Source organism: Homo sapiens, chromosome 4 (assembly GCF_000001405.40).
Source record: "Homo sapiens chromosome 4, GRCh38.p14 Primary Assembly".
Classification (NCBI taxonomy): Eukaryota; Metazoa; Chordata; class Mammalia; order Primates; family Hominidae; genus Homo; species Homo sapiens.
Genome location: NC_000004.12, coordinates 2,539,357 through 2,557,164, shown reverse-complemented (window position 1 = coordinate 2,557,164; position 17,808 = coordinate 2,539,357). Strand labels below are relative to the sequence as shown.

At 45.8% G+C, this 17,808-nt stretch overlaps 1 protein-coding gene across 7 annotated transcripts in view, besides 2 other annotated features; it reads right to left on the bottom strand.

The window, feature by feature from the left end:
- The window catches only part of FAM193A (family with sequence similarity 193 member A), a 197,199-nt gene that overhangs the window by 175,409 nt on the left and 3,982 nt on the right, over nucleotides 1-17,808 (bottom strand). The gene's annotated exons all lie outside the window — the stretch shown is intronic.
- Nucleotides 249-1,084: an enhancer, noted in NCBI's record as "H3K27ac-H3K4me1 hESC enhancer chr4:2557808-2558643 (GRCh37/hg19 assembly coordinates)". NCBI's record gives its function as "activates a minimal SCP1, AML or CMV promoter by ChIP-STARR-seq in naive and primed H9 embryonic stem cells {active_cell/tissue: H9 hESC(naive and primed)}" and the evidence as "EXISTENCE:reporter gene assay evidence [ECO:0000049][PMID:30033119]".
- Nucleotides 1,085-1,921: an enhancer, noted in NCBI's record as "H3K27ac-H3K4me1 hESC enhancer chr4:2556971-2557807 (GRCh37/hg19 assembly coordinates)". NCBI's record gives its function as "activates a minimal SCP1, AML or CMV promoter by ChIP-STARR-seq in primed H9 embryonic stem cells {active_cell/tissue: H9 hESC(primed)}" and the evidence as "EXISTENCE:reporter gene assay evidence [ECO:0000049][PMID:30033119]".

The following is a 17,808-nucleotide window of genomic DNA, read 5'->3' as shown; positions in this document are numbered from 1 at the left end:
TTGTCCTATTACTGTTATTGTTGTTAATCTCTCACTGTGCCTAATTTACAAATTAAGCTTTACCTATGGTAAAGGTACTATATATAGGAAAAACATAGTATATTTTAGGGTTGAGTATTATCTGCAATTTCAGGCATCCAGTAGGGGTCTTGGGATGGATCCCCTGCAGGTAATGGGGGACCAGTGTACTATCTTGGTGACTTTTCTGTAAATCTAAAATTATTCTAAAATAAAAAGTTTATTTTTAAAAATCCTGTGCCATAAGAATTAGATTCTACAACCTCTCATTCAGTTTCAAGCTCTATCTAACATGGTGCTCAAAATATTCAAGAGAACAATGTTCTTTACTTGACATCACCCTCTATTAACTTACGTAAGGGAAAAAGTCAATTTCCTCAAGAAAACAACAAGCAGTAATTCTGTCCCACAAACATTATTGGAATTACTCCAAGGTAGTTTAGAAATTAAAACATTTCCTTTTTTGAGACAGGGTCTTGTTCTGTCACTCAGGCGGGAGTGCTGTGGCATGATCACAGCTCACTGCAGTCTCGACCTCCCGGGCTCAAGTGATCCCCCCACATCAGCCTCCTGAGTAGCTAGAACTGTGGGTGCACACTACCACACCTGACTCCCTTCTTTTATTTTGTAAAGACAGTATCTCAGCCGGGCGTGGTGGCTCACGCCTGTAATCCCAGCACTTTGGGAGGCCAAGGCAGGCAGATCATGAGGTCAGGAGATCAAGACCATCCTGGCCAACATGGTGAAACCCCATCTCTACTAAAATACAAAAAATTAGCCAGGTTTGGTGGTGCGTACCTGTAGTCCCAGCTACTCGGAAGGCTGAGGCAGGGGAATTGCTTGAACCCGGGAGGTGGAGGTTGCAGCGAGCCGAGATCGCGTCACTGCACTCCAGCCTGGCAACAGAGCGAGACGCCATCAACAACAACAAAAAAAGGACAGTATCTCACTGGCCGGGCACAGTGGCTCATGCCTGTAATCCCAGCACTTTGGGAGGCCAAGGCGGACGGATCACCTGAGATCAGGCGTTCAAGACCAGCCCGACCAACATGGTGAAACCCTACCTCTACTAAACATACAAAATTATCCAGGCGTGGTGGCACATGCCTGTAATCCCAGCTACTCGGGAGGCTGAGACAGGGGAATCGCCTGAACCTGGAGGTTCAGGGAGCCGAGATCAGGCCATGGCACTCCAGCCTGGGCAACAAAAGCAAAATTCCATCTCAAAAAAAAAAAAACAGTGTCTCTCACGCTTGTAATCCCAGCACTTTGGGAGGCCGAGGCAGGTGGATCACAAGGTCAGGAGATCGAGACCACCCGGCTAACACGGTGAAACCCCGTCTCTACTAAAAATACAAAAAATTCTCTGGGTGTGGTGGTGGGCGCCTGTAGTCCCAGCTACTCCGGAGGCTGAGGCAGGAGAACGGCGTGAGCCCGGGAGGCAGAGCTTGCGGCGAGCCGAGATTGCGCCACTGCACTCCAGCCTGAGTGACAGAGCGAGACTCTGTCTCAAAAACAAAAAACAAACAAACAAAAAACAGTGTTTCACTATGTTGCCCAGGCTGGTCTCAAAATCCCGGGCTCAAGGGATCCTCCTGCCTTGGCCTCCCAAAGTGTTAGGATTATGGTTGTAAACCACTGCACCCAGCTGTTAATTCCATTAAAATATAATAAGTTTTCAAAATCGGTTGGACCCCAATATTATCTAGAATTTGGTCACCAAGTTATAGATTTTTAGATGGTTCTGGGATTTATATATTTACCTCTAGCCTCCCAAATTATTGGGATTACAGGTGTGAGCCATAGAGCCCAGCTAAAACTTACTTCCATAGTAAAAACAAAATAAATGTTATACAGGCCCATGACATATAGAGGCCTATGATTTGAACTCATACTGGTCAAACTCTAAAATGAAGATGGCTTGTGTCACCATGTTCATGTAATCTAGCAAATCAGTTTACAAAGCCTACAAGGTCAAAAAGTCTAGTAAAGAGAACTTTATCAAATACAATGCAAAGCAGCATCCTATAATAGCACCAAATAAATATTAAATTAGTTATTAGGCCAGGAAAAAAGGTCTCCAATAAGTATATTTCACATACACATTACAATTAAAAATGAAAATATGAATAAGCACAATTAATGAAGAATAATCAGGCAGCTATCTACAGGAAATTCATTTCAAATAATATAGATAGGTTTAAAGCAAAAAGATAGAAAAAATATAACATGCCAATATTAATTAGCAGAAAGCTGGAGAGGCTATATTAGTAGTATCAGACAAAAGCGACTTTAGAGACAAGCAAACTACCAAGGATGAGGGATACAGCTTAAATGACAAAGGGTCAATTCACCAAGACCTAACAATCCTAAATGTATATGCATCAAACACAGCTTCAAACATACATGAAGCAAAAGCTAAATAAACTGTAAGGAAAAGTGAACAAATCTACAATTTTAGGCAGAGACTTCAACATTCCTCTTTCAGCAATCAAAAGAACTAGTAGACAAAAACTCAGCAAGAATACAGAAGCGAACAAAACCATCAACCAAAAAAAAACTATCAGCCAACTGGATCTAATTGACATTCAGAAACCATCCAATAATAGTAGTACATACATTTTTAAGTTCATATGTAACATTTACCAAAACAGACCATAAAACCTTAAATTTTTTGAAAAACTTAAAATCATAAAAAGAATGATCTCTGATGTTAACAATGGTAAAAATCAGACAAAAATTCAGTAATAGAGAGATACAGGTGGCCGGACACGGTGGTTTCAAGACTGTAATCCCAGCACTTTGGGAGGCTGAGCGGGGTGGATCACGAGGTCAGGAGTTCAAGACCAGCCTGGCCAACGTGGTGAAATCCCGTCTCTACTAAAAATACAAAACTTAGCTGGGCACAGTGGTGGGCACCTGTAATCCCAGCTACTAGGGAGGCTGAGGCAGGAGAACCACTTGAACCCGGGAGGCAGAGGTTGCAGTGAGCCGAGATCGTGCCACTGCACTCCAGCCTGGGTGACAGAGTAAGACCTAGTCTCAAAAAAATAAATAAATAAAAGGGAGAGATAACAGAATTAAACAGCACACTTCTGTATTAATCCATTTTCACACTGCTGATGAAGACATACCCAAGACTGGGAAAAAAAAGTTTAAAAAGAGTTCCACATGCCTGGGGAGGCCTCACAATCACGGTGGAAGGCAAAGAGGAACAAGTCAGGTCTTACATGGATGGTGGCAGGCAAAAAGAGAGAGCTTGCCCAGGGAAACTCCCACTCACAGAACCATCAGATCTCGTGAGACTTATTTACCATCACGGAGAACAGCACGGGAAAGACCTACATGCATGATTCAATTACCTGCCACCAGGTCCCTCCCACAACACACGAGAATTGTGGGAGCCACAATTCAAGACAAGATTTGGGTGGGAACATAGCCAAACCATACCAACTTCTAAATAAACTGTAAGTCAAAGGAGAAGTCACGCCTGTAATCCCAGCACTTTGGAAGGCCAAGGCGGGCAGATCACGAGGTAAAGAGATGGAGACCAACCTGGCCAACATGGGGAAACCCCATCTCTACTAAAAATACAAAAATTAGCCAGGCATGGTGGTGCGCGCCTGTAGTCCCAGCTACTCAGGGGGCTGAGGCAGGAGAATCTCTTGAACCCGGGAGGCAGAGGTTGCGGTGAGCCGAAATCGCACCACTGCACTCTAACCTGGCGACAGTGTGAGACTCCGCCTCAAAAAAAAAAAAAAAAACAAAAAGAAGGGAAATTAGAACTTTACTTAATTATTTTAGAGACGGGATCTTGCTATGTGGACCTAGCTTGAGTGCAATGGCTGGCTATTCACAGGTCCTATCATCGCGCATTACAGCCTGGAACCCCTGAGCTCAAGTGGTCCTCCTGCCTCAGCCTACTGAGTAGCTGGAGCTACAGCATACAACACCATACCCAGCTAGAAAGTGTTTTAAACTGAATGAAAATGAAACTTCGGCCAGGCACAGTGGCTCAAGCCCGTAATCCCAGCACGCTGGGAGACCGAGGCCGGTGGATCACTTGAGATCAGGAGTTTGACAACAGCCTGACCAACATGGCAAAACCCTGACTCCACTAAAATACAAAAAATTAACTGAGCATGGTGGCGGGCGCCTGTAATCCCAGCTACTTAAGAGACTGAGGCAAGAGAATTGCTTGAGGCTGGGAGGCAGAGGTTGCAGTGAGCCAAGACTGCACCACTGCACTCCAGCCTGGACGATGGAACAAGACTGTCTCAAAAAAAAAAAAAAAAAAAAGAAAGTTCTGTGGCCGGGCGCGGTGGCTCACACCTGTAATCCCAGCACTCTGGGAGGCCAAGGCAGGCGGATCCCGAGGTCATGAGATCAAGACCATCCTGGCTAACACGGTGAAACCCCGTCTCTACTAAAAATACAAAAAATTAGCCAGGAATGGTGGTGGGCGCCTGTAGTCCCAGCTACTCAGGAGGCTGAGGCAGGAGAATGGCATGAACCCAGGAGGCGGAGCTTGCAGTGAGCAGAAATCGTGTCACTGCACTCCAGCATGGGGACAGAGCGAGACTCCGTCTCAAAAAAAAAGAAAAGAAAAGAAAGTTCAACATACCAAAATTTGTGGGATACAGCTTAAGTATGGCTCAGAGAGACGTTTATAGCATTAAATATTCACATTAGAAAAGCCCAGGCACGGTGGCTCACGCCTATAATCCCAGCACTTTGGGAGGCAGAGGTGGGCAGATTGCTTAAACTCAGGAGTTAAACACCAGCGTGAGCAACATGGCAAAACCCCGTCTCTACAAAAAATACCAAAAAAAAATCAGCCGGGCGCGGTGGCTCACGCCTGTAATCCCAGCACTTTGGGAGGCCGAGGCGGGCGGATCATGAGGTCAGGAGGTCGAGATCATCCTAGCTAACACGATGAAACCCCGTCTCTACTAAAAATACAAAAAATTAGTCGGGCGTGGTGGTGGGCACCTGTAGTCCCAGCTACTCCGGAGGCTGAGGCAGGAGAATGGCGTAAACCCAGGAGGCGGAGCTTGCAGTGAGCCGAGATCCAGCCACTGCACTCCAGGCTGGGCGACAGAGCAAGACTCTGTCTCGAAAAAAAAAAAAAAAAAAAATTTACCCAGACATGATGGCTTGCACCTGTAGTCCCAGCCGCTCAGGAGGCTGAGGTGGAAGGATCCCTTGAGTCCAGGAGTTCAAGGTTACAGTGAGCTATGATCAAGCCACAGCACTCCAGACTAGGAGACCGTACAAGACCCTGCCTCTTAAAATAAAATAAAACATAAAAATAAAAATAAAAAACAAACCCAAAGCAAATAATAAGGCAAAGTGTTTAAAAAAAAAAATCAAACACACTGAAAACGGAAAAACAGAGAAAAATCAGTAAAACCAACAGCTGGTTCTTCAAAAAGGTTTAAAAAATGATGAAACCTCTATTAAGACTGGCAAGGAAGAATAAAAGGTAAAAACAAGTTACTAATATCAGGAATGAAAGGGCAGACATCACTACAGACTCCCACAGACATTAAAAGGATAATAAAGCAATACTGCAGACAACTCTATACACATAAATTCAAATACTTAGATGAAATGAACCAATTCCTTGAAAATCAGATACTAACATAGAGAAAGAAATAATTCCCATCTTACTTTAATGAAGCCAGCATTAATACTACAGATTAAGCATTCCAAATGCAAAAATCCAAAATCTGAAATGCTTCAAAATCTGAAACTTTTTCAGCACTGACATGACACTCAATGGAAAAATTCACTGGAACATTTCTGATTTCAGATTTTCAGATTTGGTGTGCTAAATCAGCATAATGCAAATATTCCCAAATGTGAAATTATCTGAAATCCAAAAGACTTCTGGTTCCAAACATTTGAGATAAGGGATATTCAACCTGTAAAACCAAAATCAGGCAAAAACAATTTAAGAAAGCTAGTGACAAACATCCCTCATGAAAACAGACCAATAATGCTTAATAAAATTTAGTGAATTTAAGTCTAGCAATTAAAAAATAAATGACCAGGCAGGGCTTACACCTGTGATCCCAGCACTTTAGGAGGCCAAGGCAGGCGGATCACGAGGTCAAGAGATCAAGACCATCCTGGCTAACATGGTGAAACCCCATCTCTACTAAAAATATAAAAAATTACCCAGGTGTGGTGGCGGACGCCTGCAGTCCCAGCTACTTGGGAGGCTGAGGCAGGAGAATGGCGTGAACCCGGGAGGCAGAGCTTGCAGTGAGCCGAGATGGCGCCACTGCACTCCAGCCTGGGAGACAGAGCAAGACTCATCTCTAAATAAATAAATAAATAAATAAATAAATAAATAAATAAATAAATAAAAATATAAATTGAAAAAACAAAAACAAAAAAAACAACCAACAGGCGTGGTGGCTCATGCCTGTAATCCCAGCACTTTGGGAGGCCGAGGTGGGCAGATCACCTCAGGTTGGGAGTTCAAGACCAGCCTGACCAACATGGAGAAACCCCGTCTGTACTAAAAATACAAAATTAGCTGGGTGTGGTGGCTTATGCCTGTAATCCCAGCTACTCGGGAGGCTGGGGCAGGAGAATCGCTTGAACCCGGGAGGCAGAGGTTGCAGTGAGCCAAGATCGTGCCATTACACTGCAGCCTGGGCACCAAGAGCGAAACTCTGCCTCAAAAATAAACAAACAAACAAACAAACGACCAAGAGGGGTTCATTCTAGGAATGTAAAGCTGGTTCAATATCCAAAATCAATAATGTCACCTACGACTTAAACAGTCTAGGCTGGGTGTGGTGGCTCACGCCTGTAATACCAGCACTTTGAGAGGCCAAGGCAGGTAGATGACTAGAGGCCAGGAGTTCGAGATCAGCCTGGCCAACGTGACGAAACCCCGTCTCTACTAAAAGTACAAAAATTAGCCAGGAGTGGTGGTGCACACCTGGCACCACCACAGTCTCAGCAACCTGTGAGGCTGAGGCACAAGAATCACATGAACTCAGGTGGCAGAGGTTGCAGTGAGCAGAAATCATGGCACTAAACTTCAGCTTGGGCCACAGAGCGACACTCTGTCTCAAAAATTAAAATTAAAAAAAAAAAAAAAAGCCAGGTGCGGTGGCTCATGCCTGTAATCCCCGCACTTTGGGAAGCCAAGGAGGGCAGATCACGAGGTCAGGAGTTCGAGATCAGCCTGGCCAATATGGTGAAATCCCATCTTTACTAAAAATACAAAAAATTAGCCAGGTGCAGTGGTGCATGCCTGTAGTCCCAGCTACTTGGGAGGGTGAGGCAGAAAAATCACTTGAACTCAGGAGGCAGAGGTTGCAGTGAGCCGAGATGGTGTCACTGCACCCCAGCCTGGGAGACAGAGTGAGACTCCATCTCAAAGAAAACAAAAAAGTAAAACTATAAAATTTTTAGAAGAAAACAGAGGGGGCCGGGCGCGGTGGCTCACGCCTGTAATCCCAGCACTTTGGGAGGCTGAGGCGGGCGGATCACGAGGTCAGGAGATCGAGACCATCCTGGCTAAAACGGTGAAACCCCGTCTCTACTAAAAATACAAAAAATTAGCCGAGCGTAGTGGCGGGCGCCTGTAGTCCCAGCTACTTGGGAGGCTGAGGCAGGAGAATGGCGTGAACCCGGGAGGCGGAGCTTGCAGTGAGCCGAGATCCCGCCACTGCACTCCAGCCTGGGCGACAGAGCGAGACTCCGTCTCAAAAAAAAAAAAAAAAAAAGAAAAAAAGAAAACATAGAGGGAAAAAAATCGTCATAACCTGGAGCTAAAATGGAGATCTTAGAAATGACACCAAAACCATGATCCACACAGAAAAAAATTGATAAACTGAACTTCATTCACATTAATATTTTTTCCTCTGCAAAAAACCGGTTTACAGCCTGGGTGCAGTGGCTCACACCTGTATCCCAGCACTTTGGGAGGCTGAGGTGGGCCCATCACTTAAGGTCAGGAGTTCAAGACGAGCATGGCCAACATGGTGAAACACCATCTCTACTAAATATACAAAAATTAGCCAGGCATGATGGCACACGCCTGTTAATTCCAGCTACTCAGGAGGCTGAGGCACAAGAATCACCTAAACCGGGAGGCGGAGGTTGCAGTGAGTCGAGATCACACCACTACACTCCAGCCTGGGCGACAGAATGAGACTCTGTCTGACCAAAAACAAACAAACAAAAAAAACAAAAAAGTAAACTAAAAAGTTTTTAGAAGAAAACATAGAAGGAAAAAAATCTTCATAACCTTGAGCTAAAACAGAGATGTTAGAAATGACACCAAAACCATGATCCACAAAAGAAAAAATTGGTAAACGGAACTTCATTCACATTTTTTTTTCTCTGCAAAAAACCAGTTAACAGGTTGGGTCCGGTGGCTCACACCTATAATCCCAGCACTTTGGGAGGCTGAGGCCGGTAGATCACTTGAGGTCAGAAGTTCAAGACCAGCATGGCCAATATGGTGAAACCCCATCTCTACTAAAAATACAAAAATTAGCCAGGCGCGGTGGCACATCCCTATAACTCCAGCTACTCAGAAGGCTGAGGCATGAGAATCACTTGAATCTGGGAGGCGGAGGCTGCAGTGAGCCGAGATCATGCCACCACACTCCAGCCTGGGTGACGGAATGAGACACTGTCTCAACAAAAAGATAAGCTACACAGTTGAAGAAAATGTTGGCAAATTATATATGACAAAGGATTTGAATTCAGAATCATGGAGAACTTTCAAAAAATAGGCAAAGTAGGCCGGGCATGGTGGCTCACCCCTGAAATCCCAGTACTTTGGGAGGCCGAGGCGGGCGGATAATCTGAGGTCAGGAGTTCAAGACCAGTCTGGCCAACATGGTGAAGCCCCATCTCTACTAAAAATACCAAATTAGTCAGGCATGGTGGAAGGCGCCTGTAATCCCAGCTACTCGGGAGGCTGAGGCAGGAGAATCACTTGAACCCAGGAGGCAGAGGTAGCAGTGAGCCGAGATCGTGCCACTGCACTCCAGCCTGGGGACAAGAGCAAGACTTTGTCTCAAAAAAAAAAAAAAAAAATAGGCAAAGTCTTGATAAAACACTGCTCCCAAGAGGATACAGGAATGGCAAATAAACACAGGAAACATGTTTAATATTATTAGGCACCAGGGAGATGCAAATTAAAACTATGATACCACTACAGACCTATTTATTAAAATATTAAGAGGCCAGGCTCAGTGGCTCACGCCTGCAACCCCAGCACTTTGGGAGGCCAAGGTGGGCAGATCACTTAAGTTCAAGAGTTCGAGACCAGCCTGGCCAACATGGTGAAATCCCATCTCTACTGAAACTACAAAATTAGCCAGGTGTGGTGACGCACATCTGTAATCCTAGCTACTGGGGAGGCTGAGGCAGGAGAATTGCTTGAACCAAGGAGGCAGACGTTGCAGGGAGCCAAGATCGCGCCACTGCACTCCAGCCTGGGCGAAAGGGTGAGACTCCACTTCCAAAAAAAAAAAATACATACACACACACACACACACACAGACACACACACACACATACTAAGGTCAGGAATTATAAACTGTCTGTCTAGTTTTAGGCTGGGTGCGGTGGCTCACGCCTGTAATCCTAACACTGGGAAGCCAAGGTGGGAGGATCGCTGGAGCCCTGGAGATAGACACCAGCCTGGGCAACATAGTGAGACCCCATTTCCACAAAAAGAATTATTATTATTATTGTTATTATTATTTTTTGAGACAAGAATCTCGCTCTTGTTGCCCAGGCTGGAGTGCAGTAGTGTGATCTTGGCTCATAGCAACCTTCACCTCCCAGGTTCAAGCAAGTCTCTTGCCTCAACTCAACCTCCCGAGTAGCTGGAATTACAGGTGTGTGCCACCGCAACCAGCTACTTTTTGTATTTTTAGTAGAGACGGGGTTTCACCACCTTGGCCAGGCTGGTCTCAAACTCCTGACCTCCAGTGATCCGCCTGCCTCGGCCTCCCAACGTGCTGGAATTACAGGCGTGAGCCACCACGCCCAGCCCACAAAAAGGGTTTTTTAAAAAACAGTTTAGGCCAGGGCTTATACCTGTAATCCTAGCACTTCGGGAGGCCAGACCAGTAGACTGCCTGAGCTCAGGAGTTTGAGACCAGCTTGGGCAACATGGCAAAACCCCATCTCTACTAAAAAAATATTAATAATAATAGTGTAAACAAAAACCACTGAAAATCTCAAGTGCTAGCAAGGATGCAGAGCAACCAGAACTCTCAGACATTGCGTGAGTAGGCAAAATGGTATTATCCACTCTGGATAACAGTTCAGCGGTTTCACATAATGTTACCATATGACCAGCTCCTACTCCTTGGTATTTACCTAGAAAATTGAAATTTACTTTCACACAAAAATCCTGTATAGACATGTTTATGGCAACTCTATTTATAATCACCAAAACCTCAAAACAACCCCAATGTCCACCAATGGAAAAATGGACAAACTGTGGTACATTTATACAACAGAATACTACACAGCAGTAAAAAAGAACAAGCTACTGATACATGCAACAACTTGGATGAATCTCAAAGTCATTATGCTGAGTGAAATAAACCTTCCTGAAAAGACTACACAGTCATAAATGGACTGTATGAGTCCATTTACAGGACTTATCCAAAAGATAAAATCATACCAAGCAACACAGTAATGGCTGCCAAGACTTTAGGAGTTGGGGAGAGTGTAACTATAACATGAGGGAGTTTTTGTGAACAATTAAACTGTTCTGTATCCTGATTGTGGTAGTAGATATATGAATCTACAGTTGTTAAAATTCAAATGCAAAATGCACATTTTAAACATTCAATTTTGGCTGGGACAGTAGCCTACACCTGTAATCCCAAAACTTTGGGAGGCCAAGGTAGGAGGACTGCTTGAGCCCAGGAGTTTGAGATCAGCTTGGGAAACACAGTGGGACCCCATCTTTACAAAAAAAAAAAAATTTTTTTTTTTTGAGGCGGAGTCTTGCTCTGTCCCCCAGGCTGGAGTGCAGTGGCACAATCTCGGCTCACTGCAACCTCTGCTTCCTGGGTTCAAGCAATTCTCCTGCCTCAGCCTCCCGAGTAGCTATGATTACAGGCGCCTGCTACCACACCCCGCTAATTTTTGTATTTTTAGTAGAGACACGATTTCACCATGTTGGTCAGGCTGGTCTCAAACTCCTGACCTCATAATCCGCCCGCCTCAGCCTCCCAAAGTGCTGGGATAACAGGCGTGAGCCACCGCACCTGGCCTTAAATTTTTGTTTTTTAATTAGCCAGGCATGGTGGTGCACACCTGTAGTCCCAGCTACCTGGGAGGCTGAGGTGGGAGCACTGCTTGAGCAGGACAGGCTGAGGCTACAATGAGCCATTGTCATAACACTGCATTCCAGCCAAGGCAACAGAGTCAGAGTCTGTTTCAAAAAATTTTTTTAATTAGTATCAATTTTGCTACATGTTAATTTCTAAAAATTAGCATATAACAGTACCATTTAGGAAAACTATCAGGCAGTACCCACTAAAGTCAAATCGAAGTACACCCAGCAATTCTACCCCCAGCCATATGACCAACTGAGTGCTCATGTCCACCAAAACACATGTACAGAAAGGAATAGACACATCAGTTGACTCATAGCAGCCATAAAACAATCCAAATGTCCATTAGAATGGTGAGATGAATTGTGGAATATTAACACAACAGTAAGTTTACATGCCATGAAAAAAAAAATGATCCACTGCTAGGACAACAACACAGATGCATCTCAAATATAATGTTGAGCCAAAGAGCCCTAGCACAAAAATTCTTGTTCTATGAAATTCAAAGAGAGGGCCTGGCGTGGTGGCTCACGCCTGAAATCCCAGCACTTTGGGAGGCTGAGGCTGGCAGATCACCTGAGGTCAGGAGTTCAAGGCCAGCCTGGCCAACATGGTGAAACCCCATCTCTACTAAAAATACGAAAATTAGCTGGGCATGGCGGCGCATGCCTGTAATCCCAGCTACTCGGGAGGCTGAGGCAGGAGAATCACTTGAACCCAGGAGGCAGAGGTTGCAGTGAGCCGAGATCACGCCACTGCACTCCAGCCTGGGTGACAGAGGGAGACTCCGTCTCAAAAAAAAAAAGAAAGAAAGAAATTCAAAGTCAAAATCCTTTTAAAGGATACAGATGAGATCAGTAGTAGAAACGACCATGAAGGAGATGAGGGAACATCCGGAAAATTGTTCTATCTATAGTCTTTTTTGTTTTTTTTTAAGATGAGGTCTCCCTGTCACCCAGGTTGAAGTGCTGTTGTGGTACAACCACAGCTCACTGTAACCCTCAGACTCCTGAGCTCAAGCAATTCTCTAGCCTGAGCCTCCTACATAACTGGGATTACAGGTATACACCACCACACCAGGCTAATTCTTTTTTTCTTTCAGAGACAGAGTCTTGCTCTGTCACCCAGTCTGGAGTGCAGTGGCCCGATCTGGGCTCACTGCAACCTCTGCCTCCTGGGTTCAAGCAATTCTCCTGCCTCAGCCTCCCGAGTAGCTAGGATTACAGGCGCCCACCACCACACCCAGCTAATTTTTTTGTATTTTTAGTAGAGAATGGGGTTTTACCATGTTGGCCAGGCTGGGCTCAAACTCCTGACCTCGTGATCCTTCCACCTCGGCCTCCCAAAGTGCTGGGATTACAGGTGTGAGCCACAGCGCCTGGCCAGGCTAATTAGAATTAAGTTTTTTGTTGAGACAGAGTCTCACTACATAGCTCAAGCTGGTCCTGAACTCCTGGCCTCAAGTGATTCTCCCACCTCGGCCTTCCAAAGTGCTGGGATCATGGCTATGGGCCACTGTGCCAACCTATATTCTTTATCTTGATATATTTATTACATAGGTGTACACATAGAAAAAATACTGAATCACAGACATGCTCTCTGCAGGTACACCATTTCTAAAGCGTGTATGGTAACCATTTAAACTTTTAAAAGTTAAAATTGTTAATTTTAGTTAAGACACAGGAAGTTCTACATTTTTCTTCAACCTATTTCCTCAGGTCACTAGGCAAATATGAACTAGAGTTAATGATAACCTAATTTCACCGTGGTCGCAATTTCTACAATACAGGGAAGGCTTCTAAGTGCACCCTCATGTACCCCAAAGATCCATAATAATCATACCAGCATGTTTATACAACGATCATACCATCAAAGCAGAGGATACGCTGTATGGTGGCTAATTTTTTGGTTTTTTTTTTTTTTTTTTTTTTTTTTGAGACAATGTCTCATTCTTTTGTGCAGGCTGAAGTGCAATGGTGTGATCTCTGCTCACTGCAACCTCAGCCCTGCACCCCCCACCCCGGGTTCAGGCGATTCTCATGTCTCAGCCTCCTGAGTAGCTGAGATTACAGGCGCTCGTCACCATGCCTGGCTAATTTTTGCATTTTTTAGTAGAGATGGGGTTTCTCCATGTTGGCCAGGCTGGTCTCAAACTCCTGACATCAAGTGATCTGCCCACCTCAGCCTCCCAAAGTGCTAAGATTACAGGCGTGAGCCACTATGCCCGGTCCCTATGGTGGCTAATTTTTATTTTAATTTTTTGTAGAGCAGTGGCGGGGAGGGTCTCTCCACGTCACCCAGGCTGATCTCAAACTCCTGGACTCAAGTGATCCTCCCACCCTGGCCTCCCTAAATGCTGGGATTATAGGTATGAGCTACCAAGCCTGTGGTGCCCTATCATTAAGAAACCCAAGGTAGTGGCCAAATGCAGTGGCTCACACCGTAATCCTAGCACTTTGAGAGGCCGAGGCGGGTACATCACGAGGTCAGGAGATCGAGACCATCCTGGCTAACATGATGAAACCCTGTCTCTACTAAAAATACAAAAAATAAGCTGGGCATAGTGGCACACACCAGTAGCCCCAGCGACCTGGGAGGCTGAGGCAGGAGAATCACTTGAACCCGGGAGGCGGAGGTTGCAGTGAGCCAAGATTGCGCCAGGGCACTCCAGCCTGGGTGACAGAGCGAGACTCCATTTAAAAAAAAAAAAGAAAAGAAAACTGAGGTAGCGCAAGGTTGATACCTTGCCCATGGAACAGAGCCTAACAAATTTGTGGTTCCCCAAGCTTTGTGTATAAGAATTCTGTTTTGAGTCAAAGACCCTATAAGCTAAGTTATGTTTTCCTACTTCTCCCATGGTCCTCCTCCTTTGTTGAAGCTACCCACATGCAGAAACACCCTCTTTGGCTCAGCAGCCACCTCGATGAAGGTGGTCCTGGGTATAACACATAGTGCTGTGTCCCGCACACAGGACAGTGGGACTGTGACCACTCCTGAAAATCAAGACAGTCCTTCCACTCGGCCTTCTCTCTTATCCACCTCCTGGCCTGGTGACTACGGAGTGTAGAGGCTGCTTGCCAGGACTCAGAAAGCCTCCCTGGGAACCATAGGGCCAGAAACCACTCACTGTTTCTGGTTGATACTGTTTTGGGTGCCATTTTGCACCATACAAGGTACTCCAAAAAGCTCACCATCTGTGGGGAAACAATTCAGAGGCTTCAGAATTACATTAAGACTTTCTGTGATCTGTGTCAAGAATATTTTACCCCAGTTACCATAAAGAGTTTCTTTAATGAACAATTATTAAAATACTTACAAAGAAACTTAAAAACTAAAGACAGCTTTAAAAGCTTAAAATATCGGCCAGGTGCAGTGGCTCACGCCTGTAATTCCAGCACTTTTGGAGGCCCAGGCAGGTAGATAGATCACTTGAGGTCAGGAGTTCGAGACCAGCTTGGCCAACAAGGTGAAACCCCGTCTCTACTAAAAATACAAAAAATGGCCGGGCGTGGTTGCTCACGCCTGTAATCCCAGCACTTTGGGAGGCCAAGGCATGTGGATCACAAGGTCAGGAGTTCTAGACCAACATGGTGAAGCCCCGTCTCTACTAAAAATACAAAAATTACCCAAGTGTGGTGGCACATGCCTGTAATCCCAGCTACTCAGGAGGCTGAGGCAAAAGAATCACTTGAACCCAGGAGGCGGAGGTTGCAGTGAGCTAAGATCACCCCACTGTACGCCAGCTGGGGTGACGCAGTGAGACTCTGTCTTGAAAAAAAAAAAAAAATTTGCCAGGTGTGGTGGTGCACTCCTGTAGTCTCAGCTACTCGGGAGGCTGAGGCAGGAGAATCACTTGAACTCAGGAGGAATCACTTGAACTCAGGAGGCAGAAGTTGCAGTGAGCCGAGATGGCGCCACTGCACTCCAGCCTGGGCGACAGAGCAAGACTCTGTCTCAAAAATAAAATAAAATACCATAAAAGATGGTGGCATATTTTAAAAGCTTAAAATACAGTAAAAGCAACTGTCAAGGTGCAGCACACAACTCAATAGTACACAATAGAGAGGCTGCAGTGGGTCACACCCGTAATCCCAGCACTTTGGGAGGCCAAGGTGGGTGGATTACAAGGTCAAGAAAGAGAAACCATCCTAGCCAACATGGTGAAACCCTGTCTCTACTAAAAATACAAAAATTAGCTGGGCGTGGTGGCACGCGCCTGTAGTCCCAGCTACTCAGGAGGCTGAGGCAGGAGAATCGCTTGAACCCAGGAGGTGGAGGTTGCAGTGAGTCAAGATCACGCCACTGCTCTCCAGCCTGGTGACAGAGCGAGACTCTGTCTCAAAAAAAAAAAAAAAAAAGTACACAATGAACTAATTCTGTGGACTATAACCCAGATTTTATTAATGAGATTACATGGAACAGAAAAGATCAGAAAAGTATTAAAATATTTTGTTTGTTTTTTGTTATTTTTTGAGACAGAGTTTCGCTTTTGTTGCCCAGGCTGGAGTGCAATGGCACAATCTCAGCTCATGACAATCTCCACCTCCCAGGTTCAAGCAATTCTCCTGCCTCAGCCTCCAGAGTAGCTGGCATGACAATCTCCACCTCCCAGGTTCAAGCGATTCTCCTGCCTCAGCCTCCTGAGTAGCTAGGATTACAGGCATGCGCCACCACACCCAGTTAATTTTGTATTTTTAGTAGAGACAGGGTTTCTCCATGTTTCTCAGGCTGGTCTCAAACTCCTGACCTCAGCTGATCCTCCTGCCTCGGCTTCCCAAAGTGCTAGGATTATAGGTGTCAGCCACTGCGCCTGCCCTTTTTTTTTTTTTTTTGAGACGGATTTTGAGACACAGTCTTGCACTGTCGCCCAGGCTAGAGTGTAGTGATGTGATCTGGGCTCACTGCAACCTCCGTCTCCCAGGTTCAAGTGATTCTCCAGCCTCAGCGTCCGGAGTAGCTGGGATTACAGGCATCCACCACTATTCCCGGCTATTCTTTGTATTTTTAGTAGAGATGGGGTTTCATCACATTGGCCAGGCTGGTCTGGAACTCCTAACCTCAGGTGATCCACCTGCCTCAGCCTCCCAAAGTGCTGGGATTACAGGTGTGAGCCACCGCACTCGGCCTGTTTTTTCGTTTTTGTTCGTTTGTTTTTTTGAGACGGAGTCTCACTCTGTCACCCAGGCTGGAGTGCAGTGGCGCCATCTCGGCTCACTGCAAGCTCAGCCTCCTGGGTTCATGCCATTCTCCTGCCTCAGCCTCCGGAGTAGCTGGGACTACAGGGCGCCCGCCACCACGCCTGGCTAATTTTTTGGGGTTTGTTTGTTTGTTTGTTTTGAGACGGAGTCTCGCTCTGTCGCCCAGGCTGGAGTGCAGTGGCGCCATCTCGGCTCACTGCAAGCTCCGCCTCCCAGGTTCACACTATTCTCCTGCCTCAGCCTCCGGAGTAGCTGGGACTACAGGTGCCCGCCACCACGCCCGGCTAATTTTTTGTATTTTTACTAGAGACGGGTTTCACTGTGTTAGCCAGGATGGTCTCGATCTCCTGACCTCGTGATCCGCCTGCCTCGGCCTCCCACAGTGCTGGGATTACAGGCGTGAGCCACTGCGCCCGGCCATTTTTTGTATTTTTAGCAGAGATGAGGTCTCACCGTGTCAACAAGGATGGGATTTTTTTTTTTTTTTTGAGACAGAGTTTCACTCTTGTTGCCCAGGCAGTAGTGCAATGGTTAGATCTCAGCTCACTGCAACCTACATCTCCCAGGTTCAAGCAATTCTCCTGCCTCAGTCTCCCGAGTAGCTGGGATTACAAGTGCATACCACCACACCTGGCTAATTTTTGTATTTTTAGTAGAGACGGGGTTTCACCATCTCTGGGGTTTCATCATCTGTCAACCAGGCTGGTTTCGAACTCCTGACCTCAGGTGATCCACCCACCTCGGCCTCCCGAAGTGCTGGAATTACAGGCATGAGCCACGGTGCCCGGCCCTAAAATGTTTTGTGAAATTTTTGTGTTTATGTGTATGTTTCCTAGATCTTAACGGATTTTATTTCTTGGAGTGGGTCATAAGAGTGGGTCATGGTCAAAAACCTTGATAGGCCAGGTGCAGTGGCTCAGGCCTGTAATCCCAGCACTTTGGGAGGCAGAGATGGGAGGATCACTTGAGGTCAAGAGTTCAAGACAAGCCTGGGTAACATAGTGAGACCCTGTATCTATATTAAAAGAACAAATTAGCCAGGCATGGTGGCACATACCTAGAGGCCTAGCTACATGGAAGGACTGCTTAGCCCAGAAATTGGAGGTTACAGTGAGCTATGACCAGGCAACTGTACTCTAGCCTATGCAACAGAGAGAGACCGTGTCTCTTTTAAAACAACAAAACCCTGATGCATACTAGTTTAACAGAATATCACAGTCCTGTCAAAAATAATACTCAGGTGGGCACAG